Source organism: Homo sapiens, chromosome 19 (assembly GCF_000001405.40).
Source record: "Homo sapiens chromosome 19, GRCh38.p14 Primary Assembly".
Classification (NCBI taxonomy): domain Eukaryota; kingdom Metazoa; phylum Chordata; class Mammalia; order Primates; family Hominidae; genus Homo; species Homo sapiens.
In genome coordinates, this window is record NC_000019.10 from 19,555,517 (window position 1) to 19,580,917 (window position 25,401).

A 25,401-nucleotide genomic window follows, 5' to 3' on the forward strand; every position below is an offset into this window, starting at 1 on the left:
ATGCAGGTCCCCAGTTCCCTCAGCGGAGGCTCCTACAGATTTGGATGTGTCTAGAGATTGAAAGCATTATCCCTCACTTTCCAAATTCTTGCTGTTTCAAAATGAGGAAGGCTGAGAGCTGAAAGCCCACCATCCCGTCCCAGCTGGACCCACAATATGGGTGATGTGTGGTCCAAGGGCGGGCAGAGGCGGTTACCCCAGTCAGGATCACACACTCCAGGTATTTAGCTACCATTTGCAAAACACTCTTGCTAGAGGTAGTGGTGTGTGTCTATAGTTCCAGATACTCAGGAGGCTGAGACAGGAGGATCACTTGAGCCCTGGAGTTCGAGGCTGCAGTGAGCTATGTCACTGTACTCCAGCCTGGGTGACAGAGCAAGACCCTATGTCTAAATAAATAAGTAGGCCAGCATGGTGGCTCAGTCCTGTAATCCTACCACTTTGGGAGGCCGAGGCAGGCGGATCACTTGAGGTCAGGAGTTCAAGACCAGCCTGGCCAACATGACAAAACTCCATCTCTACTAAAAATACAATAATTAGCTGGGCCTGGTGGTGGGTGCCTGTAGTCCCAGCTACTCGGGAAGCTGAGGCAAGAGAACTGGTTGAACCTGGGAGGTGGAGGTTGCAGTGAGCTGAGATTCACGCCACTGCACTCCAGCCCGGGTGACAGAGCGAGACTCTGTCCCCCCTCCCCTCAAAAAAAAATTATTTATTTAATAATAAAAATAAATAGGCTGGGTGCGGTGGCTCATGCCTGTAATTCCAGCACTTTGGGAGGCTGAGGCGGGAAGGTCACCTGAGGTCAGGAGTTCGAGACCAGCCTGGCCAACATGGTGAAACCCTGTCTGTACTAAAAATACAAAAATTAGCCAGGCATGGTGGTACATGCCTGTAATCCCAGCTACTCGGGAGGTTGAAGCAGGAGAATCACTTGAACCTGGGAGGCAGAGGTTGCAGTGAGCTGAGATCGCACCACTGTACTTCAGCCTCGGCAACAGAACAAGATTCTGTCTCAAAATAAATTAATTAAAATAAAATAAAATAAAATAAAATATAAAATAAAATAAAAAGAAACACAAAAATTAGCCAGGAGTGGTGGCACATGGTTATAGTCCCAGCTACTCAGGAGGCTGAGGTGGAAGGATCGCTTGAGCCGAGGAGGTCAAGGCTGCAGTGAGCCATGATTGCACCAATGCACTCCAGCCCAGGTGACAGAGTGAGACCCTGTCTCAAAAAAAAAAAAAAAAAAAAAAAAAAAAAAAAAAAAAAAAGCTGGGTGTGGTGGCTCATGCCTGTAATCCCAGCACTTTGGGAGGCTGAGGCAGGTGGATCACTTAAGGTCAGGAGTTCAAGACCAGCCTGGCCAACATGGTAAAACCTTGTCTCTACAAAAATACAAAAATCAGCCGGACATGGTGGCAGGTGTCTGTAATCCCAGCTACTCGAGAGGCTGGAGCGGGAGAATTGCTTGAACCTGGGAGGCAGAGGTTGCAGTGAGCCAAGATCACGCCATTGCACTCCAGCCTGGGCACCAGAGTAAGACTCTGTCCCCATTCCCCTCAAAAAAAAAAAAAAAAAAAAAATCAGGAGGGGAATTGATGAGACTAAAGGGTACATGCATTCTTATTTTTTATAGAGATGGGTTATCACTCTGTCTCCCAGGCTGGAGTTCAGTGACATGATCACGGCTCACTGCAGCCTTGAACTCCTGGGCTCAAGTGATCCTCCCGCCTCAGCCTCCTGAGTAGCTATGGTGTCCATCACATCTGGCTAATTTTAAAAAATGTTTATGAGACAGCGGTGTCACTATGTTGTCCAGGCTGGTCTTGAACTCCTGGCATCAAGCGATTTTCCCACCTTGGCCTCCCAAAGTGCTGGGATTACAGGCCTGAACCACCATGCCCAGCCTCAACGTGTCCACTTTTAATATGAATAGATTCTAGAAAATTGCCCTCCTGGGCGGCTGTACCAGACTGTACCCACCACCACTGCCTTCAGGCTGGGAGCCCCCCGCCCTGCTGCTTCCTCCTATCTAGGGGCTCGGGGTGCAGGTCACAAAGCCTCTGAGCCTCATTGTCCCCACCTGTTATGTGGAGACGCCTATCAGCACCCACACAGCTAGCAGGCAGTTCAAGTCCCTGGTGACTCCTGTGTCCCTGTAATCACCTTTATGGCTTGGTTACTATCATGCAGCCAACTTTTAGGCACATTTGAATAGTGCAATATAAAATATTAATAAAGTGTGACTTTGTGTGCAGAATTTGACCTGGGTTGGGGGGGTGGGGCGGGTGCAGCAGCTCACACCTGTAATCTCAGCAATTTAGGAAGCCGAGGCGGGCGGATCACTTGAGCCCAGGAGGTTGAGACCAGCCTGGCCAACATGGCAAAGTCCTGTCTCTAATAAAAATACAAAAATTAGCTGGGCATGGTGGCGCATGCCTGTAGTCCCAGCTACTTGGGAGGTTGAGGCAGGAGAATGGCTTGAACCCAGGAGGCAGAGGTTGCAGTGAGCCAGGATCATGCCCCTGCACTCCAGCCTGGGCAACAGAGGGAGACTCTGTGACACACACACACACACACACACACACACGCGCACAACGAATTTGACCGGGGTGGGGATTTCTTTTATCGAAACCCCCCAAGAGGCCTAGCTCTGAATCTCTGAACCGTGATCTGCATTCACGCTACAGGCAGAGGAGGGCGGGCGGGAGCTGGAGGCGTAGCTGCCCACAGGCTCAGCTCCAGCCTCTGGCAGGCACATCCAGTCACCGCTTTGTCCTCAGCACCCAGAGGAGCTGCCCGGCAGGTCCTGCCCTCTCCCTCCCTCAAGGACCTGCCCAGCAGCTCTCCCGGGCTCACAGCCTTAGTTTCCCTCCCACACCGCATGTCCCCCAGTGACCTCTTTGCTCTGAATCCCCCCAAGGGCTGACGAGGCTAGAGCCTCCGATTTTCTAGTAGTTGTGGCCCCATCACTCCACTGAAGCTGTCACACCCGATGCTGGACTTGGAGGTGGCTTCTTGATCCTGGTGGAGCTTCACTTCTGCTCCTGGTGTCTGTCCTTCTTTCTGCTTCTATGACATCCTCTCCTAGTTTCTGTCCCATATTTTGGCCTCCGTTGACTTCCAAATTGCTCTCTGCAGAGCAGGCCTCTCCCATGAGTGCGACTCCCATGTGCAGCTGGGGGACGGACACCCTGGGCCTGACAGCGTGGAGCTGAACCGGTCTCCCCCTCAAAACCATCCCCGTCTATTCCACCGGAGACTTCGGGCACCGTGACTCCTCTTCATCAGCAAGTACTGTGGCGCCACCTTCGCCTCCATCACGAACTCAGCGACACTTGACCATCCACCACCTAGGTCCCAGGACCCTCCTATGCCCCTCACTGCTGTCTGTCCTGGATGCAGCATTGGAGTGGCTGTGAAGATGCTGAGTCTAATGGGCACCCCCGAGGGCTGGCACCTCCTGCCCCTCCTCTGTGTGTGTGGACACCTCGAGGTAGGGTCAGTGCTCTCCGTACGCTCATGCTCACCTCCTGTAGGCCTTGTCTCAGAAGGCACCTTCCCCAGTTGGGATGGGACTGAGCCACAAAGCAGAAGGCGCACTGGCCCGTGCTCCAACGTGGATGAACCTCAAAGACACGATGCTGAGTGAAGGAAGCCAGACATGAAGGCCACACAGTGCACAAGCCCACTGATCTGAAATTTCCAGACCAGGCACATCTGAGACAGGAAGCAGACTGGTGGCCGCCAGAGGCTGGGGAAAGGGAATGAGGAGTGACTGCTCATGGGGACAAGGCTTTTTTTGGGAGATGAGAAAGTTTTGGAAATAGAAGTGATGATGTTGTGAATATATTCACTTCATTGAGTTGTGCACTCAAAAATGGCATACTTGGCAGGGCACAAGGCTGAAGTGGGGAGATCACTTGAGATCAAGAGTTCAAGACCAGCCTGGCCAACATGGCAAAACCTCATCTCTACTAAAAATACAAAAATTAGCCAGGCGTGGTGCATGCCTATAATCCCAACTATTCAGGAAGCTGAGGCACAAGAATTGCTTGAACCCAGGAAGTGGAGGCTGCACTGAGCCGAGATCGTGCCACTGCACTCCAGCCTGGGCGACAGAGCGAGACGGAGTGCAGTGGCACGATCTCAACTCACTGCAAGCTCTGCCTTCTGGGTTCACGCGATTCTCCTGCCTCAGCCTCCCCAGTAGCTGGGACTACAGGCGCCCACCACCATGCCCGTCTAATTTTTTCTATTTTTCAGTAGAGACGGGGTTTCACCGTGTTAGCCAGGATGGTCTCGATCTCCTGACCTCGTGATCTGCCTCAGCCGTCCAAAGTGCTGGGATTACACTTCGTGTGTGAGCCACTGCGCCCGGCCAAAAAAATGTTTTTTAAAGGGGAAGGGGAAGCTTTATGTTATGTATATTTTACCACAATTTAAAAGAGAAAAGATAAAAAAGGCCTTCTCTTGGAAACTGGCCCTGAACCCACCCCCCAACTTTTGCGTGTGTTTCTGATAACTTCTGTCTGGAATGTAGCTCACAAGAGCAGGGACATGCCCTCTGTCTGTGAGTCTTGGGCTGCAGGGGGCCATGAGGCAGGCAGACTGGATGTGACAACAGGAACTTAGGGTGGGGATGGGAGTTGCCTTCATTTCCTGGCTGCAAATGGTAGAAAGCGCAGCCACACCACCGTAGGGAGGGAATCCCATGCCAGGGCTGACTAGGTTATGAGCAGGGGGTGGGCAGAGGTACCACGACTCCAGGCTTCTAGTCCCTGGATGCTCTTCCCACCTAGTCATGCCTTGGGCCCCGCAACACCCGAGGCTGCACAGAGCCCAGGGCCCTGGTTCTTGGTGCCGTCCAGCACCCAAACATGAATTGGGGGATGCCAAGCTCTAAGCCGTGCACAGCAGTGGGCCAACAGGACCTCACGCACAGTATGCAGGAAAAGTGCTTTGGAAGTTTATCGTCTTTAATGACATTTCAACTGAAAACAGAAACCAGCTGGGCGCAGTGGCTCACACCTATAATCCCAGCACTTTGGGAGGCCAGGGCAGGTGGTTCACCTGAGGTCAGGAGTTCGAGACTAGCCTGGCCAACATGGTGAAACCCCGTCTCTACTAATACAAAAAAATTAACTGGGCATGGTGGCGCACGCCTGTAATCTCAGCTACTCAGGAGGCTGAGGCAGGAGAATCGCTTGAACCTGGGAGGTGGAGGTTGCAATGAGCCGAGATGGCGCTATTGCACTCCAGCCTGCGCGACAAGAGCAAAACTCTGTCTCAAAAACAAAACAAAACAAAACAAAACAAAAAAACAGCAAAAGAGCAAATAGAGCAAAACCCGAAAAAAGTGCAAAACTAATTCCCAGTAAAATTGAGCTCCGAACATAAAATAAATATATATAATTGAGACAGGGTCTCACTCTGTCACCCAGGCTGGAGTGCAGTGGCGTGATCTCAGCTCACTGCAGCCTTAACATCCCGAGCTCAGGTGATTCTCCCTCCTCAGCCTGTTGAGTAGCTGGGACTACAGGCATGCGCCACCATGCTCAGCTAATTAAAAAAATTTTGGGGTGGGGGGCGGTCGGGCACGGTGGCTCAAGCCTATAATCCCAGCACTTTGGGAGGCTGAGGCGGGCAGATCACTTGAGCTCAGGAGTTCAAGACCAGCCTGGCTAACATTGTGAAACCCCATCTCTACCAAAAATACAAAAAATTAGCTGGGCATAGCGGCAGGCACCTGTAATCCCAGCTACTTGGGAGGCTAAGGCGGAAGAATCGCTTGAACCTGGGAGGCAGAGGTTGTGGTGAGCCGAGATCACACCACTGCACTCCAGCATGGGTGACAGAGCGAGAATCTGTCCCCCAAAAAAAAAAAAAATCTGAAAGCAGAATTTTTTTGTAGAGACGAGGTCTCACTATGTTGCCCAGACGGGTCTCAAACTCCTAGGCTCAAGCAATCCTCCTACCTCGACCTCTCAATGTGCTGGGATTACAGGCATGAGCCACTGCTCCCAGCCAGGACATTTTAAAATCAGAACAGAATGATACGGTCCCACAGAAGACAGTGTTGGGAGTCTGTGCCTGAGCGGCGCAGGTGAGTGGCAAAATCACAGCACACATGACACTGCAGCTGTGACCGGTGTCAACTACCACCCAAAACAAATCTGGCAAACAGACATCGGAATTAAAATAAGTCAAAAATTTTAATGGGAAAATCTGTGCCCAGTCCTAGAACAGACAATTCAATTCATAGCGTTACCATAAAATTACTGTCAAAAAAACGAACTGAAGTGGGAGAATGAGTGGCGTTTCAGGCCATCTCGAGTCGCAGCAGACACATGAGCCGGCGCCACGGGCCTGGCTGAGGAGCAGGGGCTCATGGGCACCACCACCCATCTGGGTTTTCTGAGGTCGTCGGCGGCACGTTCAGTAACAAAGCAACGGCTGGCGATACATGGCAGCTCACGCAGCGCTCTTTCCTGCTTATCCCCCAAACTTAATTAGATGTACTGGAGTTGATGCTGCCAGGGTCTCCAGCAGGTGAGGCAGTTGCAGGTTGGGGGGTGGCCCCCTGCCAGCTACCCTGGGCCTGAAACGACAGAGACTGAGCATCAGAGTGGGTGGCCGTGAGACTGGTGACTACCCAGCCCACGTGCTGCAGGCGGAGCCTCCAGGGGTCCCTGGGAAGGCTTGGAAAAGATCCACAGATGACCTCCAGCTCAGTGGAGGAGGGAAGGGATGGAGGGGTCGGTCCTGGGTCACAGCTGGCCTTGCCACCTGACATGGGACATGGACGAGCTTCCCCGGCAGGAAAACTGGCCTCTAGTGGCTTCCCTGGGGCTTAGGCAAAGGACTGACTGGCATCGGGTACAACAAGGGCTCCTGCCCGGCGAGGGGCAGGGAGGCAAGGTCAGGCCTGGAGCCCATGATGACGCCCGGAGCGTCATGGTGAGACTCGGTGGGAAAAAGGGGCTCTGAAACCTGGCCCAACACTGGCCTGGCTGGGCAGCAAGGAGGGTGGGAGGCAACCACTTGTCATAAGGGGTGGGGGCTCTGTCTGCAGTGCAGAGACGGCATCACGTCCAACGGCGCTAAGACGTTTGTCCACAGGACCCACCCCCACTATGGTGGGCACGGTACAGGTTAAGGAAGTGGCTGGGACTGCTCTGCCCGTGAGTGTGGGAGCAGCTCAGACGGGTGCACCACCTGGGGGCACTCTGCTCTGAACTGGGGTGGACACACAGCTGCTGGCGCGTAGTCAGGTCCCAGGGGTGCAAAGGGCAAGGTGAGGCCCCTCACGTGTGTCCCTGGCTGGGGGCTGCATGGTGATGGGGGGCAGCTGCCACAGCAGGACAGTGTGGGACGTGTGCTTCCCAGGACCAGGTGGGACCCCACAGACAGCACAGGAGGCATCCGTTCTCTGAACCCCTGGGAGAGAGTGGTGAGTTGGGAGGGGCACCCGGCTCTGCAGTGCCCTGGCACACACCACACACACAGCCTCGTGCCTGTGCTGGGCACATGACACCTGGGCCTCCTCAGTGTCTTCAAGACGGTCCCCACTCGCTGCCTTCCCAGCCAAGCTGCGGCACTGAGGTCTGAGCCCGAGGGAAGGCCCCATCTCTCCTCCGGCCTCCTCTGCTGGCTGCCTGCCCCTCCCTCTCGAGGGAAGGACACCATGTCCTCCCACAGTCCTCTAGGAGGTGCCCTTCCCCTCCACAGCCAAAGCCCTCATCTTGGGGTTCATCCCCACTGACTGTTCCCAGCGGCTGCCGTGGTGACAAGTGGAGGTGGGGGAGGGCACAGTCATTACAGAGTGGGGCCCTGCAGAGCTGTGCCCCAGAGGTGGCCGCGCAGCATGGCCTGTGTGGCTGCTGGGACCTCTGGGGAAGCTGCCCCAAGGCCGAGGGGTGGCTGACAAGACGACCCTTTCTGAGAACCTACCACCCACCTGGGCGCTGTGGGACAGTGCCTGAGACTCACCTGGGACTGCAGGCAGCCTCCCCCAGGAGGAGGCTGGAGAGAGGCCAGAGTCCGCAGGGTGAGGAAGGCGTCCCCAGCGCTGGGCAGCGGGAAGGGTCCAGAGGAGCCTGGAAGAGATGGGAGCCGGGGTGGGCAGAGTCGTGGCGCCTCCTCAGGTGGAACCCACCCAGCCCCTCAGCCGGCAGGAGGCCTCGAATGTGGCTCCTGCCCCTCCTCAGCATCCGGCCTCTGCTCCTCAGCCCCCACCCAGGCAGGCCAGCGGGCCCTCCCCACCACACTACTCATGTCCCCTCATGGCTTGTCTTTTTTTTTTCTTTTTAAGACAGTCTCGCTCTGTCACCCAGGCTTGAGTGCAGTGGCACGATCTTGGCTCACTGCAAGCTCTGCCTCCCAGGTTCACACCATTCTCCTGCCTCAGCCTCCCAAGTAGCTGGGACTACAGGCGCCCACCACCACGCCCAGATAATTTGTTTTTTCTTTCTTTTTTTTTATTATTATTATACTTTAAGTTTTAGGGTACATGTGCACAATGTGCAGGTTTGTTACGTATGTATACATGTGCCATGCTGGTGTGCTGCACCCACTAACTCGTCATCTAGCATTAGGTATATCTCCCAATGCTATCCCTCCCCCCTCCCCCCACCCCACAACAGTCCCCAGAGTGTGATATTCCCCTTCCTGTGTCCATGTGTTCTCATTGTTCAATTCCCACCTATGAGTGAGAATATGCGGTGTTTGGTTTTTTGTTCTTGCGATAGTTTACTGAGAATGATGATTTCCAGTTTCATCCATGTCCCTACAAAGGACATGAACTCATCATTTTTTATGGCTGCATAGTATTCCATGGTGTATATGTGCCACATTTTCTTAATCCAGTCTATCATTGTTGGACATTTGGGTTGGTTCCAAGTCTTTGCTATTGTGAATTGTATTTTTAGTGGAGATGGGGTTTCACTGTGTTAGCCAGGATGGTCTCTATCTCCTGACCTCGTGATCCGCCCGCCTCGGCCTGGGATTACAGGTGTGAGGCACTGCACCCAGCCCATGCCGGGCTAATTTTTTTTGTATTTTCAGTAGAGACAGGGTTTCACCATGTTGGCCAGGCTGGTCTCAAACTCCTGACCTCAGGTGATCCACTCATCTTGGCCTCCCAAAATGCTGGGATTACAGGTGTGAGCCACCGCACCCAGACCTTTCATGTCTTTTCTTATTAGTATCGCCATTCTGTCCCCAAAGCACAGGTATCTGTTGGTTGGGATCATGGCCAAGAGGAACAGAACTCTCACAGTTGAAACAGAAGAAAGAGTTACACAGAGTTGACCACTGGGGGAAGGGAGATGTGGTCCCACTGTGGCCTCCCCAGATGCAGCTCAGTGGCCGTCCACATGGGTACAGATGACTGTCCCTGGGCCAGCCTCACTCACCGGAGCTAGGTGTTGACAGGCAGCTGGCGTGGTTCCCTGGGACCCCAACTTCCGTGGTATCCACAGCCGTTTTACCCGTGTAAATGGTAGCCTCTTCTTGAAACTTCCCCATGTTCTTTTTATACCGGATTCTTTTGTTGCCAAACCAGTTAGAGACCTGCGGACACACAGGAGTCACTGGAGGAGCTGACCCAGCGACTTCTGAGACACGACGCAGTCTGTGGGTTCCCTGGGGTGCCCGTTGCTCCCACTGCCTTAGAAGACAACACTGCACCCTGGGGCTATGAAGAGTCTGGGACTGAGAAGGTGGCGCCCTCTGAACCACGGACCCAGGGAGATGTCCACATGGGTTGAGGACACCCTGGAGCTGGCGTGTCTTAGAACTCTGCTGCCTAAAACTGGATGTTGCTGGAACCTGAACCTGGGAAGGGGCTGGAAGGAAAACAAGACTGTCTGAGGTGGGCCGGGAGGGACAGCGCCTCTGGCTGCCATGCAGCAGGCGGCAGGTTACGTTCCGTGTTCTCTTCAGGAAAAGTGAGAGCCAGGGAGACCTGGGGACCCAGTAACTGCGATCGAATCCCAAACTTATCAAATGAAAACAAGGTGAACTCTGAAGGGGTAGTTGGAATGTACCAGGTGCTAGGATAAGCACTTCTCATATATTCATATATTTTTCTTAATTTTAATTAAAAAAAGGTTTTTTGGCCGGGCGTGGTGGCTCACGCCTGTAATCTCAGCACTTTGGGAGGCTGAGGTGGGGGGATCATCTGAGGTCAGGAGTTCGAGACCAGCCTGGACAACATGGAGAAACCCCATCTCTACTAATAATACAAATATTAGCTGGACACAGTGGCACATGCCTGTAATCCCAGCTACTCGGGAGGCTGAGGCAGGAGAATCACTTGAACCTGGGAGGCAGAGGTTGCAGTGAGCCAAGATCGCACTGCAATTTAGCCTGGGCAACAGAGTGAGACCCTGTCTCAGAAAAAAAAATATATTTTTTCTTTTTTTTTAGAGATAGGGTCTCGCTCTGTTGCCCAGGCTGGTCTCAAACCCCTGGGCTTGAGAGTTCCTCCCGCCCTGGCCTCCCAAAATGCTGGGATTCCAGGCCCAGCCTCATATATCATTCTGCCTCATCCTCATGAGGACCTGGGAGGCAGCTGTTATCGTCCCTGCTGTAAGAAAGCAGAGGCAGGAGAAAAAGGAGCTAGTCCATGGCCAAGGTGGAATCAGCCCAGCTCTGACTGCAAACTGGCACTGGAGTCCCCCAGGGAGGGGCTTGTCACCTTTGGTGGCACTGCTGATGCTTGGGCTCCATCTGCTCTGTGGGGGCTGTCCTGTACACTGCAGGGTGCTGAGCGGTATCCTTGGCACCCACTGGGTGCCAGGAGCACTTCCCTTCTCTAGTCGTGACAACAAAAATGTCCCCTGGGCAGATTCACATGGGTGAGCACCCCAGGGCCAGCGCCTTCCTACAGGCATGGAGACGTCCATCCAGGGCCACATTTCAGTATCCCAAAGCAAGTAAAATAAACGTATAGTATAATAACACACAGAAATGAAACAGCTGAGGGATGGAAGAGGATTGTGGATGACCTTTGCTACTTCAAACATTTTTTTCTCACTCTGTCACCCAGGCTGGAGTGCAGCGGTGCGATCTCAGCTCACTGCAACCTCTGCCTCCCAGATTCAAGTGATTCTCTTGCCTCAGCCTCACCAGTAGCTGGGACTACAGGCACGTGCTACCAAGCCTGGCTAATTTTTGTACTTTTTTTTTTTTTTTTTTTCGGAGACGGAGTCTCACTCTGTCACCCAGGCTGGAGTGTGGAGTGCAGTGGTGCGACCTCAACTCACTGCAACCTCCGCCTCCCTGGTTCAAATGATTCTCCTGCCTCAGCCTCCCCAGTAGCGGGATTGCAGGCATGTGCCACCAAGCCTGGCTAATTTTTGTATTTCCAGTAGCCACGGGGTTTCACCATGTTGGCCAGGCTGGTCTCGAACTCCTGACCTCAGGTGATTCGTCCGCCTTGGCCTCCAAAGTGCTGGGATTTCAGGCATGAGCCACCATGCCTGGCCAACATTTGGTGTACTTACATTATCCTTGCAATGTTAAGTATAAAAAGAAGGATCCCTGTCTGTGTGCTCTCTGTTCCAAACATAGTGTCTGCCTACCCCGGGGGTGTGAGCAGCCTTCTCTTGATCCACATGGGAGGCCCCAGAGGCTCCATCCTGGTTGAAGCAGCCCTGGTTGTCCTCCAGACAATTGTTCCTTGGGGGCCAAATGTCTCACGCTTCTCCAGGGGCCTTGAAGACCCAGAGGCGCAGCCCCTTGCTCCAGCTCTGGCCTTGTTTCTGACACCACAGCAGATCCCGATGAGCAAAGTCATATGTGACTATGACCTCAGGATGTTTTGCTGCCTGCGTGACCCCGAGGGGTTCCAATTGCTCTCTGTCACAGAGACTTGACTGGACTTAGCCTGGGTTGGAGCAGAGCATGGTGGTGAAGGACTAGAAACTCAGCCCCTCCAACTGCAAAGTAGGGAGGGCTGTGGTGACATGCAGCAAGCCATGCTGTGGGTCAGCACCTGCCATTCCTGCTGCCATAGAGGCTGTGGGGCTGTGCCTGCCCAGGTGGGAGGGCGGCACCCAGGCCCTGTTCCACACACTCATGCTGCCACGGGGGTATGGCCTGGACCTGGCTTGCTGCCATAGGCTGCCTGGACTTACTGTTTCCATGTTAAAACCTTCGGAAATATTTCTTAGCCTCTTGGTCTTAGTGTCTCCCTCTTTCACCCCCAGTTCCACAGAGGACACTGGTGGCTGCCTACCAGGCTATAGAGTCAGGGAGCTCACACTCTCTACCACGTCACCTCAGGGGGCTCACACTCCACAGCATCCCCCAGGGAACTCACACTCCATCTCAATCACCTCAGGGAGCTCACACTCCATCTGTATCCCTCAGGGAGCTCACACCCCACCTGTATCCCTCAGGCAGCTCACACTCCATCTGTATCTCTCAGGGAGCTCACACTCCATCTCTGTCCCTCAGGGAGCTCACACTCCACCTCAATCACCTCAGGGAACTCACACTCCATCTTTATCCCTCAGGGAGCTCACATTCCATCAGTATCCCTCAGGGAGCTCACACTCTATCTGTAACCCTCAGGGAGCTCACACTCCATCTGTATCCCTCAGGGAGCTCACACTCCATCTGTAACCCTCAGGGAGCTCACACTCCATCTGTATCCCTCAGGGAGCTCACACTCTACCAGTATCCCTCAGGGAGCTCACACTCCATCTGTATCCCTCAGGGAGCTCACACTCCATCTGTAACCCTCAGGGAGCTCACACTCCATCTGTATCCCTCAGGGAGCTCACACTCTATCAGTATCCCTCAGGGAGCTCACACTCCATCTGTATCCCTCAGGGAGCTCACACTCTATCAGTATCCCTCAGGGAGCTCACACTCCATCTGTATCCCTCAGGGAGCTCACACTCCATCTGTATCCCTCAGGGAGCTCACACTCCACCTCAGTCACCTCAGGGAACTCACACTCCATCTGTATCCCTCAAGGAGCTCACACTCCATCTGTATCCCTCAGGGAACTCACACTCCATCTGTATCCCTCAAGGAGCTCACACTCCATCTGTATCCCTCAGGGAACTCACACTCCATCTGTATCCCTCAAGGAGCTCACACTCCATCTGTATCCCTCAGGAAGCTCACACTCCGTCTGTATCCCTCAGGGAGCTCATACTCTGTCTGTAACCCTCAGGGAGCTCACACTCTGTCTGTATCCCTCAGGGAGCTCACACTCCATCTGTATCCCTCAGGGAGCTCATACTCTGTCTGTATCCCTCAGGGAGTTCACACTCTGTCTGTAACCCTCAGGGAGCTCACACTCCGTCTGTGTCCCTCAGGGAGCTCACACTCCACAGCATCACCTCTGGGACCTCGCATTCCATCTGCATCGCTCAGGAAGTCCTCAGGTCTCTCTGTGGGTACACTTGCACCCCTGCCTCACAGATGAACGGGGAGAGCGCTGGAGTCCCACATTTGTAATGCAGAGCCTGGATCTGAGCTGGCCTGGCTGACTCAGAGCCTGGAGACTTGGCTCCTGTTCCACACTTTTTTTGTTTTTCAGAGATAGGATCTCACTCTGTCACCCAGGCTGGAATGCAGTGGCGCCATCATAGCTCACTGCAGCCTCACCCTCCTGGGCTCAAGTGATCCTTCCACCTCAGCATCCGAAGGAGCTGAGACCACAGGTGCACACCACCAAGCCCAGCTAATTTTTTAAATTTTTTGTAGAGACAGTGTCTCACTATGTTGCCCAGGCTGGTCTCGAACTCCTGGCCTCAAGCGACCCTCCTACCTCATCCTCCCAAAGTGCTGGGATTCCAGCAGCCATGCCTGGCCTCTGCACACATTTAACAAACTTCCCTGGGTGTCCTCATGGGACCTAGTCATCCACTCCTCCCAGGCGTGGCGAGACGTGGCAGGAGAGAACGTCACCTGGGAGATGGTGAGGCCGCCCTTCCTGGCCAGCTCTTCTTTGGCTTCTTCGCTGGGGTAAGGGTTGTTCAGATGGGAGTAAAAATACTCATTCAGCACTTCCGTCGCCTGCTTGCTGAAATTCCGCCGCTTGCGCCTGCAAAAACAGCCGCCTTCGTAGGCATTAATATGCTGGGACTCCAGTACCACCCCCACCTCTAGTTCTGAGTATGATTTTCCAGTAGTTCTGAAAACAGCAATCACTTGAGGTCAGGAGTTCGAGACCAGCGTGGTCAACATAGTGAAACCCCGTTTCTACTAAAAACACAAAAATTAGCTGGGCATGGTGGCGGGAGCCTGTAATCCCAGCTACTCGGGAGGCTGAAGCAGTAGAATCGCTTGAACCTGGGAGGCGGAGGTTGTGGTGAGTGGAGATCGCACCACTGCACTCCAGCCTGGGCACCAGAGTGAGACTCCGTCTCAAATAAATAAATAAATAAATACAAAATAAAATAAAAATGAAAACAGCAATACTTCAGGCCTTCTTCCCAAGAGGCTGTGAGGCCTCCAACCGTGACTGCAGACACAGCCTCCAGGGCTGTCTTCAACCCAAGCCAGCACTATTTCCCTCCAGTCCCTCAGAGCCGGCCCTTGAGGTTTTGGGTACGTACAGGCCCTGACCTGGCATCGAGCAGCCGCGAACGCAGGGTCATCACTGCCTCACAGGTGCTCTGCTTCAACTGCATCTGGATGGCGCTGAACTTGCCGTGAATGGCGCCGACCATGCGCTCAATCTCCTTAGGGGAGACAGGCCTCATCCTGCTCTGCTCCTGGAGGAGGTTGGTGACGTGCGTGGTGAACTCACGACAGGCCTGGGGTGGGAGCACAGACACGCCGGCCTGTGACTAGGCAGCAGGGTGGCACAGGGCAGCAGGTTCCACAGCGGAGCAGCCGCCTGCCACCCCCTGTAGTTCACACACCGGCGGGTGACTGTTAAGTAAATGGAAAGGGCTTTCAGTAACAATGGACCACCTCTGCAGCGACCAACTGCATGGACTCCCTGTTCTGCGCCACGAAAGAAAGGTGGTTAGCGTTCCGTGTTTCGCTTTGACAAATGCGCATTCACATGACAGAAACTCTTCCATGCAGAAAGATCACCTGTTCATATTTCTCTAGCTCAGAGTGGTAAATCTGTCGGATCTGGGACAGCTTGGCCCTGTAGTCAGAGTGCTCAATGCTATTGTCATTTGGACAGCCACCTGGTGTTGCTGTGCCGGCCCTGGCCACCGCTCCTCCTCTTCCTCTCTTCTCGGGCCTGCACACGCCCTCAGCCAGCAGCATGTTATCCAGCCTCAGGAGCTGGGCGTCAGGGGGATCTTCGTCTTGAATGCCACGGATGCTTACCACTAGATAAGAGAGACCGGGACAAGTCACAATTCATTTTCTGGAGAGAAAACAAACCATGAGAAAATGTGAGCACTGGTGTTATGTCTGAAGATTTTTGCATAGAACCCTTCGGGAGAAAGGAATACTCCACTTTATCACCAAATTGGATGATGGACACTGAGCACCCCGCTAAGACATGGGTCCAAGTGCCATCCTTAGAGCGCAGTCTGGGGAGGAACGGGGAGACACAGGTCGCAGTTTGGCATAGCCTGTGAGGGCAAACCTTGGTCACAGCTGTGTGCACGCAGCAGGGCCAGGCAGGCGCCTGTTGCTGGGGTCACCTGAACCCCTGAACCGAGTCTCAAGAAGTGCTGGGGAAGAGGGGGCACCCAAGATGCTGCATACTGATAAAGGCAAGTGGCAGGCTGGCATTGGCAGCGTGGCTGGCCTGGGCCCAGGACTGTGCAGCTGTAGGCCTGTTGTGGCTGGTGGGTGGGGTGTGTGTGTGTTGGGGTGGGGGTGCTGTTATAAAACTGGATAGGAAAAGCCTGATAAAGAAAGTGCCAGAAAAGATGAAATAACCCACTGAAAGATTTTAAGCAGAGAAACAAGATAATGGGCCCTACAATTTGGAAATGCCGTCCCAGCTCTGCAGAGAGGGGACCTGGATAGGGGCAGGGCTGGACTGCAGGGGAAGCAGTCAAAGGGCAGCCACCATCAAGGTATACACAGCTGTGGGGTCTGCAGGTCAGCTACAGGGCAGTCAGAGAACCCCCAGGATTCGTGTCCTGGGACACGGGTGTCAGAGAAGGGAAGACTCCAGGGTCATTCCCAGATTCTGCCATGGGCAGCACAGCCAATGGCATCGCATTCTCCCAAGTAAAAAGCCTGGAGCTGCAGCTTGTGCAGGTGGGGCTGAGTGAAAAGGTGGCTTCACGGCCGGGCACAGTGGCTCACGCCTGTAATCCTAGCACTTTAGAAGGCTGAGGCGGGCGGATCACTTGAGGTCAGGAGTTCGAGATCAGCCTGGCCAACATGGTGAAACCCCGTCTCTACTAAAAATACAAAAATTAGCCAAGCGTGGTGGCGCCTGCCTGTAATCCCAGCTACTAGGGAGGCTGAGGCAGGAGAATCACTTGAACCTGGGAGGCAGAGGATGCAGTGAGCTGAGATCTTGCCACTGCACTCCAGCTGGGGGGATAGAGAGACCCCGTCTCAAAAAAAAAAAAAAAAAAAAGTGTTCTCTTAGAATCAGGCTTTTTTTTTTTTTTTTTTTTTTGAGATGGAATCTCATTCTGTCACCTAGGCTGGGGTGCAATGGCATGGTCTCCACTCACTGCAACCTCTGTCTCCCAGGTTCCAGTGATTCTCCTGCCTCAGCCTCCCGAGTAGCTGGGACTACACATGCGTGCCGCCATGCCTGGCTAATTTTTGTATTTTTAGTAGAGACAAGGTTTCACTATGTTGGCCAGGCTGGTCTCGAACTCCTGACCTCATGATCCGCCTGCCTTGGCCTCTTAAAGTGCTGGGATTACAGGCATGACCCACCGTACCGGGCCAGAATCAGGCTATCTTAATAAGGTCAGCTACTTACCGAATTAGTGCTCAGATGACAATTCCGTTTGATTATATCATATAGTCATTTACAAGTGTCCCTTTCTTATTCCCTACATAACAGATGAACCTTTTCTGTCAAAAACTCACTAGTCAAAACTGAAGGAACTCAAGCGATATCCTTGTAAGAATTTTCCTTAGAGATTTCCACTTCAGGCTGGGCGCAGTGGCTCACGCCTGTAATCCCAGCACTTTGGGAGGCCAAGGTGGGCGGATCACCTGAGGTCGGGAGTTCGAGACCAGCCCAGCCAACGTGGAGAAACGCCATCTCTACTAATTAGCCGGGCATGGTGTCGAGTGTCTGTAATTCCAGCTACTTGGGAGGCTGAGGCAGGAGAATTGCTTGAACCCGGGAGACGGAGGTTGCAGTGAGCCGAGATCACGCCATTGCACTCCAGGCTGGGTGACAAGGGCGAGACTCCGTCTCAAAAAAAAAAAAAAAAAAAAAGAGATTTCCACTTCAACACTTAGTGCTAGTTTATTAAGCACACATGCAACAAATTTTATAAACCAGGATTTTGAACAAGAGACAAAAAAAATTAGCAACCAGATCCAAGGACTGACCACAAACCTGGTGCTTAATACAGGATAGTGTTGGCCAGGCGCAGTGGCTCACGCCTGTAATCCCAGCACTTTGGGAGGCCAAGGTGGGTGGATCACCTGAGGTCAGGGGTTCGAGACCAGCCTGACTAACACAGAGAAACCCCATCTCTACTAAAAATACAAAATTAGCCGGGCATGATGGCACATGCCTGTAATCCTAGCTACTTGGGAGGCTGAGGCAGGAGAATCGCTTGAATCCGGGAGGTGGAGGTTGCGGTGAGCCGAGATCACGCCACTGTACTCCAGCCTGGGCAACAAGAGCGAAACTCCATCTCCAAAAAAAAGAAAAAAAAAAAATATACACACACACACACACACACACACACACACACACACACACATATAGGATAGTGTCCCACCTTCTCCAAAACTGTTTCTTACTCAATTAAAATTGGAAAAAGCAATATGAGAAAAGTGGGAAGATTTCAAGAAGAATCCACACACCCTGTTAAACTTTCAAGGTAGAATAGATGGCGGCACAAAGTTGCAGACATGCAGAGACTTAACCACAAGTCTCCAGTACCCAGGCAGCGAATGTCCATGGCACAAATTAGTCATGCAAATTAGACATAAATTTGTCTAATTTGATAATAAGAACATAAACTATAATAGAAACAGCCAAAATAGCTAATACATGAGATTGGTTAAGTAAATTATGATAGAACCATAAAATAAAGCCGCCAGCAACTCTATTTTCCTTTTTTTGTTTTTTTTTCTGAGATGGAGTCTTGCTCTGTGTCCCAGGCTGGAGTGCAATAGCACAATCTTGGCTCACTGCAACCTCTGCCTCCTGGGTTCAAGCAATTCTTCTGCCTCAGTCTCCTGAGTAGCTGGGATTACAGGCGCTCGCCACCATGCCTGGCTAATTTTTGTATTTTTAGTAGAAACAGGGTTTCACCATGTTGGCCAGGCTAATCTCGAATTCCTGACCTCAAGTGATCCACCCACCTTGGCCTCCCAATGTGCTGGGATTACAGGCGTGAGTCACCACACCCAGCCTCACACCCAGATAATTTTTGTATTTTTAGGAGATACGGGGTTTCACCATGTTGCCCAGGCTAGTCTCGAACTCCTGAGCTCAAGCGATCCACCCGCCTCGGCCTCCCAAAGTGCTGGGATTATAAGCGTGAGCCACCGCACCTGGCCTGTTTCTAAAATTTCTACCACCAAGTCTATGAAAAATCATCACCAGGAATGAGGGCATCAGGATACATCCCCTTGGGAGGCTGAACTATATCAGAGTGGGTATTCCTCAAACTGCTTTTGTGCATATCACTCAAGCTTGGCCCTGTCTCTTCATAGACGCCCTCCTCTGCCTCCACATACTTATTTAAGCAGACACTACAGGCTATACTTGGTGCCAGCTCCCTGCAGCCCGTGGCCACTGTGGCCCTTGGCCTCAGAGCTTCAGAAAACACCCCCTCTCCCTGAGTGCCAGGCTGAACTGAAGGTTCCCACCACCTCACACTCAAGGACCCTCCTCACCGGCTCACTCAGTCTCTTTGGGCTGCACCGAGGCTCTTTCTGAGATGGCTGAAGGAAAAGTGTCCCTTTTATTAGCTGGCAGACAGCCTTCCAGTTTGGTGGCCCAATTTTCCTTTTTTTTTCCTTTTTTTTTTTTAAAGACAGAGTCTCTCTCTGTCGCCCAGGCTCAAGTGCAGTGGTGGGATCTCAGCTCACTGCAGCCTCCACCTTCTGGGTTCAAGCGATTCTCCTACCTCAGCCTCCCGAGTAGCTGGGATTACAAGCATGCGCCACCACGCCTGGCTAATTTTTGTTTTTTGTTTGTTTCAAGAGAATTCAATCGTTTATTGATTACAACGTTTGTATTTTTAGTAGAGACGGGGTTTCACCATGTTGAACAGGCTGGTCTCGAACTCCTAACTTCAGGTGATCCTCCCACCTCGGCCTCCCAAAGTGCTGGGATTACAGGCGTGAGCCACCACGCCCAGCCTGGAGACTCAATTTTCTAACAATCTTACTTTATCTTCAAGAAGCTCCACCATCCTGGCTAACACGGTGAAACCCCGTCTCTAATAAAAATACAAAAAAAATAATTAGCCAGGCGTGGTGGCGGGTGCCTGTAGTCCCAGCTACTCAGGAGGCTGAGGCAGGAGAATGGCGTGCACCCGGGAGGTGGAGCTTGCAGTGAGCCGAGATTGCGCCACTGCACTCCAGCCTGGGCAACAGAGCGAGACTCTGTCTCAAAAAAAAAAAAAAAAAGCTCCAGCTGTCTGTTTTAGTTCCTCCCACTGCCAGCACCCATGAGCGAGGACAGCCCACTTGGAATGATGCTCATGGGGTGCTGTGCCTACAATCTGGGCCTTACAGATCTGGGTGACAGTCACAGCAAGTGGACACCCTTGGACAGCCAGGTAAAGGCCGCTCCCAGAATTAGCCTGTGTTTGCCTATTCCTCGTAATAACCCTCCCCTCTCCTCCTAATCTCTCCTGGCTCAAAACAGACAATGGCTGTCCTCTCTGTAGTCCCTCTGTTTTCAAATCCTATTGATTCTGCCTCAACAATCAACTTTCCACTTATCCCTCCCTAGGTCCCTACTGTGCTAACCCTCTCCTGCCCTTTGTGACCTGCGGAGGAAAGTCTCTCCCCTCCCATCCCTCATGCACACCTGCAGGCCAACCCTTTTCAAACACATCATGCTGCTCTTTTGTTCAAAAGAAACCCAGCCTCTAACATCCTTCTGGACCTGCCTTTGGAACTGTTCCCTCGCGGAGCCTTGCACAGCCTCTGACAAGCACAGATGTCCCACGTGCCCCTGAATCTTGTTCAACAGCTCCTTCCTGAGCACCCATGGAGGTCGCGGCCAGGTGTCATGTGTGGGCGGAGGATACACAGGACTCAGTCCCTCCACACAGGACCCCAGCATGCTCTGACAGCCGGGGTGAGGAAAGCCACCTCCACACCTTCCATTACAGGCCCATTTGAAATAGGGAAAGGAGCATGGTCAATGTTGGCACATGCAGTGTAATGAGAGTGTGTGTGTTCATGTGGGTGTGAAATGCAGGGCTGCCGCAGAATATGTGGCATTCTTTCATTCATTCATTTATGTATTTAGGGGCTGGGCGAGGTGGCTTATATCTATAATCCCAGCACTTTGGGAGGCTGAGGTGGTAGGACTGCTTGACCTCTGGAGTTCAAGACCAGCCTGGGCAACATGGTGAGATCCTGTTTCTAAAAAAATTTTTTTTTTCTTGAGACGAAGTCTCGCTCTGTTGCCAGGCTGGAGTGCAGTGGCACGATCTCGGCTCACTGCAACCTCCGACTCCTTGGTTCAAGCAATTCTCCTGCCTCAGCCTCCCAAGTAGCTGGGATTACAGGCACACGCCACCATGCCCAGCTAATTTTTGTATATTTAGTAGAGACGGGGTTTCACCATGTTGGCCAGGATGATCTCAATCTCCTGACCTCGTGATCCACGCACCTTGACCTCCCAAAGTGCTGGGATTACAGGTGTGAGCCACTGTGCCTGGCCAAAAAAAAAAATTTTTTTTTTAAATCATTTACTTATCCAACAACAAACATCTGAGAGCCCATCACAAGCCAGGTACCACACTAAGTGTTGAGGATTTTTATTGTATTTATTATTTTTGGGGTCTGTCTCTGTTGCCTAGGGTGGAATATAGTAGCATCATCATAGCTTTCTGTAACCTCGACCTCCTGGGGTCAAGCGATCCTCCTGCCTCAGCTTCCTGAGTAGTTGGAACTATACACATGCCACCACACCTGGCTAATTTTTTATTTTTGTAGAGATGGCATCTCACTATGTTGCCCAGGCTGGTCTCAAACTCCTGTCCTCAAGCGAGCCTCCACCTTGGCCTCCCAAAGTGCTTGGGATTATAGTTGTGAGCCACCACACCTGGCCCGAGGATTTTAAAAAAATATACCAAAACCCACAGGACTTACTGTTCTCCAATTAAAACTCTCAAATTACAGTGAGAGGCTGAGGCGGGCGAATCACTTAAGGTCAAAAGTTCAAGACCAGCCTGGCCAACATGGTGAAACACCATCTCTACTAAAAATACAAAATTAGCTGAGCATGGTGGTGCATGCCTGTAATCCCAGCTACTCAGGAGGCTGAGGCTGCAGTGGGCCAAGATTGTGCCACTGCACTCCAACCTGGGAAACAGAGCGAGACTCCATGTCAAAAAAAAAAAAAAAAAACTCTCAAATTAAAGTGAGAACACCTGTGCCTTTCCATTTACTCTTCATGGGGTATGCATTGTACAGCATTTCTGGAGAAGAGTTTTGAGATACTGGTTAACCTTGAAAAAGTGCATAATCTTTAATCTCCAAATTCCCATTCTGTACCTGGAATTTATCCTACAGGGGTACTGACACCTACAAAGATGTATTTACAGGAGGCACAGTGTTTGTAATCGTGGGCGACCAGAAGGGTGCAGATGTGCATGAGTTTGGGCACAGACAGCATACCTGTCACCCTCGGGCCCTGTGGTGTCACCTGTGTCTCTTGAGGGTGCCATTATGAGGCAATCAGATGTGATAAGCCTTATTTCTTTAAGATTACACATTTTTGGCCGGGCTTGGTGGCTCACGCCTATAATCCCAGCACTTTGGGAGGTGGGTGGATCTTGAGGTCAAGAGGTCGAGACCATCCTGGCTGACACGGTGAAACCCCATCTCTACTAAAAATACAAAAATTAGCCAAGCGTGGTGGCGCGTGCCTGTAGTCCCCACTACTTGGGAGGCTGAGGCAGGGGAATCGCTTGGAACTGTGAGGCAGAGGTTGCAGTGAGCTGAGATCGCGCCAGTGCACTCCAGCCTGGCGACAAAGGGAGACTCCATCTAAAAAAATAATAATTAAAAAAAAAAGATTATGCTTTTGAGGCTGGGCAAGGTGGCTCATGCCTATAATTCCAGCACTTTGGGAGGCCGAGGCAGGCAGATCACTTGAGGCCAGGAGTTTGAGACTAGCCTGGCCAACATGGTGAAAACCCATCTCTACTAAAAAAAAAAAAAAAAAAAAAAAAATTAGCTAGGTGTGATGGCACAAGCCTGTAATCTCAGCTACTTGGGAGGCTGAGGCAGGAGATCTGCCTGAACCCAGGAGGTAGAGGTTGCAGTGAGCCAAGATCATGCCACTGCACTCCAGCCTGGGAAACAGCAAGACTCCATCTCAAAAAAAAAAAAAAAAATGCATTTTTGCTATATATGTGTTATAAGCAAAAGCAAAACTTAAAAAGCTAAGTTACCGAGGAGAAACGCTGTGCCTTGGTCACCACCATCAGTCCATGCTGGGGACATCTGCCCTGCCAGCTGCCTCTTGGGTGGTGCCTACAACAGCTTCCTCAGCACCGTGCCTTTGTGCTCCCCGTACACTGATGCTGGCCTAATTATGGTCATTAGACATGCATTACCATCAATTACAGCAAGCTCAGTTCCGGTGACTGTTCCAGAGCTTCTCAGCTGTGCTCCTCAGCTCCCCCAGGGCCCTTGACTGGCAGGCAGGGAGGCTGGAGGTACCAGAAGCTTGGTTCAGGGATACCATCTGTCGGAGGCACTGACATGGGGAAACAGACTTAAAACAAAGGTACCCCCCTCCTCAAACTGCCAGGCTTCCTTCTGTTCCCAACTTACTGTGTGTGGCAGAAACTCCAGTAAATCAAACAATGACATAAAATAAAATCGGGATTATGTTTTTCTAAGAAACAATATGGCAATGCTGTGAGCCGAATGTTTGTGTCACCTCCAAATTCACATGTCGAAGCCCTAACTCCCAACGTGACTATTTGGAGGTGACGCTTTTAGGAGGCAGTTAAGGTTAAATGAGGTCATAAGGATGTGGCCCTGATCTGATAGGATTAATGTCCTGATGGGCAGAGACCTCAGGGAGCTCGCTTTCCCTAAGAGGTCATGTGAGCTCACAGTAAGATGGCGGCCGCCTACAAGCCAAGAGAAAAGGCCTCATAATGAACTACCTGGCCAGCACCTTCGTCTGGGACTTTCTAGGCCCCAGAACTGTGAGAAATAAATTTCTATTTTGTAAACCACCCAGTCTGGGCCGGGCGTGGTGGCTCATACCTGTAATCCCAGCACTTTGGGAGGCCAAGGAGGGTGGATCACAAGGTCAATAGATCGAGACCATCCTGGCCAATATGGTGAAACCCCATCTCTACTAAAAATACAAAAATTAGCCGGGCATGGTGGCGTGTGCCTGTAATCTCAGCTACTCAGGAGGCTGAGGCAGAAGAATCGCTTAAACCTGGGAGGCGGAGGTTGCAGTGAGCCGGGATTAAGCCACTACAGCCTGGCAACAGAGTGAGACTCCGTCTCAAAAAAAAAAAAAATCACCCAGTCTGTGGCATTTTGTTAGGGTGGCCTGAGTAGACTAAGACAGTAACATAACCCCAAGTTGCTTTAATTTTTCTCCCCAGGAACAAAGACGTGGGGAAAAGCAGAAGGCTCAGAGGGAACCCTCCTTTGCCCTGACTTCCCCAAGCTGCTCACCTGCCCCCTCACCCACTCAGCAGTGCTCTCACTTGGCAGCGGGCTGTGCTCCCGCCTCCTTCCCACAGCAAGTGGGAACCATCTCTGGGACCCCAGCCCCATAGGGAGAAGGCTAACCCATGGATTAAATCAGATGCCCTGACTGACCCCTCGGGTCTGCCACTTTCCAGTCATGTGGCTGTCAGTGGTCACTCCGCTGGCCGCAAGCCCCAGTTGTGAACGGAGCTGCCCCAGGCAACTGACTGGATGGAATTACATAGAACCGCAGGCCCGGCCCAGAGCCCATCAGGGTATGGGACTAAGCAAAACACTCACCTCACGCTCTCCCTGCTGTCTCAAATCAGCAAGAAGCTGGCCCCTCAAAAGCAGAGGCAGGGCCTCCTGTGCCAATCAATCGATCGTGGAGGCTGAGCCTCCTCCCCATCTCCCCCCACCATCCACAGCCGGAATGAGCGTTGGAGACGGATTAAACTGTGGAATCTGGGACAGAGGGTTGACGCCTGGTGAGAGGCGGCCAAATCTCTCTTTGAGGAGTCCTTTGGTGACAGAGAGCCAAAGCCTAGTGCGCCGACCTGAGTTGCAATGAGTACCTATAGTCACAGCTTGCTCTGATCACACAGGCGCAGGCGCAGACAAGCATGTCCGCCTGCCCTCGGGCCCACCCACCGTGTCTGGAACTGACAGTGCCGGTGACTCTGCACAGGTGAGAATCGACATGAAGGAGAAAACATGGGGACTTCCTGCTTTCTAGAAACCTTTTGAGGCTTTTTCAGTCACTTACTGAGCACCTACTGAGTGCTGGGCCTGAGCTTTGAGGATGACAAGTGGCTGCTGCTTGCCCTGGGGGGATAAGAACCAGGGTCTTGCTGCTGCTACCGGGGTCTCCTATGCTACTGGCCTCCTGACCAGTGACCCTTAGAAAGAACGGGGCCACTGGCCACAGTTCTGCCGGTGGGACCCAGCGTGGTAACTGGGACCTGGGCTGAGGTTAACTTTCCTGTTCCAGTTTTCAGAAGGAGAGCTCAACTTCCATCAGCTCCAGCTTATCTTGTAGTCAAAGAGCCAAAGGTAATAAGGAAATGAGTTCTACAAGGCATTCTGGCAAGGTGCTCACCAGGAGCCACTTTCATTTGTAGTGAGAGTGTTTCCTCCCTAAACAAGGCCTCTGATATTGGAGGACAGGGATAGGGGAGGCAGGTGGTAAATAACCTTCTGTACTTAGACCTCAACTGCTTAAAAGAAAAAACACCAGCTACTGGGGAGGTCACTCAGGCAGGAGTGCAGTGGCACGCTGCAGCCTTGACTTCCTGGGCTCAAGTGATCCTCCCGCCTCAGCCTCCTGAGTAGCTGGGACTACAGGCATGCGCCACCCTGCCCAGCTAATTTTTATATTTTTTGTAG

General features: G+C 52.3%; 1 protein-coding gene across 8 annotated transcripts in view, besides 4 other annotated features; it reads right to left on the reverse strand.

Annotated features, from left to right (window-relative positions):
• Window positions 4,776–5,275: an enhancer, noted in NCBI's record as "H3K4me1 hESC enhancer chr19:19671101-19671600 (GRCh37/hg19 assembly coordinates)". NCBI's record gives its function as "activates a minimal SCP1, AML or CMV promoter by ChIP-STARR-seq in naive H9 embryonic stem cells {active_cell/tissue: H9 hESC(naive)}" and the evidence as "EXISTENCE:reporter gene assay evidence [ECO:0000049][PMID:30033119]".
• PBX4 (PBX homeobox 4) overlaps window positions 6,197–25,401 on the reverse strand; it is a 56,975-nt gene continuing 37,770 nt past the window's right edge. For 3 of the 8 annotated variants that reach the window (XM_047439471.1, NM_025245.3, XM_011528320.4), the window contains 6 exons: window positions 15,070–15,317; window positions 14,593–14,783; window positions 13,933–14,068; window positions 9,417–9,573; window positions 7,993–8,099; window positions 6,197–6,601 (listed from right to left, as the gene is read on the reverse strand). In XM_047439471.1, the coding sequence (XP_047295427.1) occupies window positions 6,509–6,601; window positions 7,993–8,099; window positions 9,417–9,573; window positions 13,933–14,068; window positions 14,593–14,783; window positions 15,070–15,252 (867 nt within the window). In that variant the 5' untranslated portion in view covers window positions 15,253–15,317 and the 3' untranslated portion in view covers window positions 6,197–6,508. Of the gene's footprint in view, window positions 6,602–7,992; window positions 8,100–9,416; window positions 9,574–13,932; window positions 14,069–14,582; window positions 14,902–15,069; window positions 15,356–25,401 lie in introns of those variants that run through there. The other 5 variants (XM_006722911.4, XM_011528322.2, NR_038198.2 and 2 more) reach the window with 4 other exon arrangements.
• Window positions 19,790–20,291: an enhancer, noted in NCBI's record as "NANOG-H3K4me1 hESC enhancer chr19:19686115-19686616 (GRCh37/hg19 assembly coordinates)". NCBI's record gives its function as "activates a minimal SCP1, AML or CMV promoter by ChIP-STARR-seq in naive H9 embryonic stem cells {active_cell/tissue: H9 hESC(naive)}" and the evidence as "EXISTENCE:reporter gene assay evidence [ECO:0000049][PMID:30033119]".
• Window positions 20,292–20,791: an enhancer, noted in NCBI's record as "NANOG-H3K4me1 hESC enhancer chr19:19686617-19687116 (GRCh37/hg19 assembly coordinates)". NCBI's record gives its function as "activates a minimal SCP1, AML or CMV promoter by ChIP-STARR-seq in naive H9 embryonic stem cells {active_cell/tissue: H9 hESC(naive)}" and the evidence as "EXISTENCE:reporter gene assay evidence [ECO:0000049][PMID:30033119]".
• Window positions 24,340–24,839: an enhancer, noted in NCBI's record as "H3K4me1 hESC enhancer chr19:19690665-19691164 (GRCh37/hg19 assembly coordinates)". NCBI's record gives its function as "activates a minimal SCP1, AML or CMV promoter by ChIP-STARR-seq in naive H9 embryonic stem cells {active_cell/tissue: H9 hESC(naive)}" and the evidence as "EXISTENCE:reporter gene assay evidence [ECO:0000049][PMID:30033119]".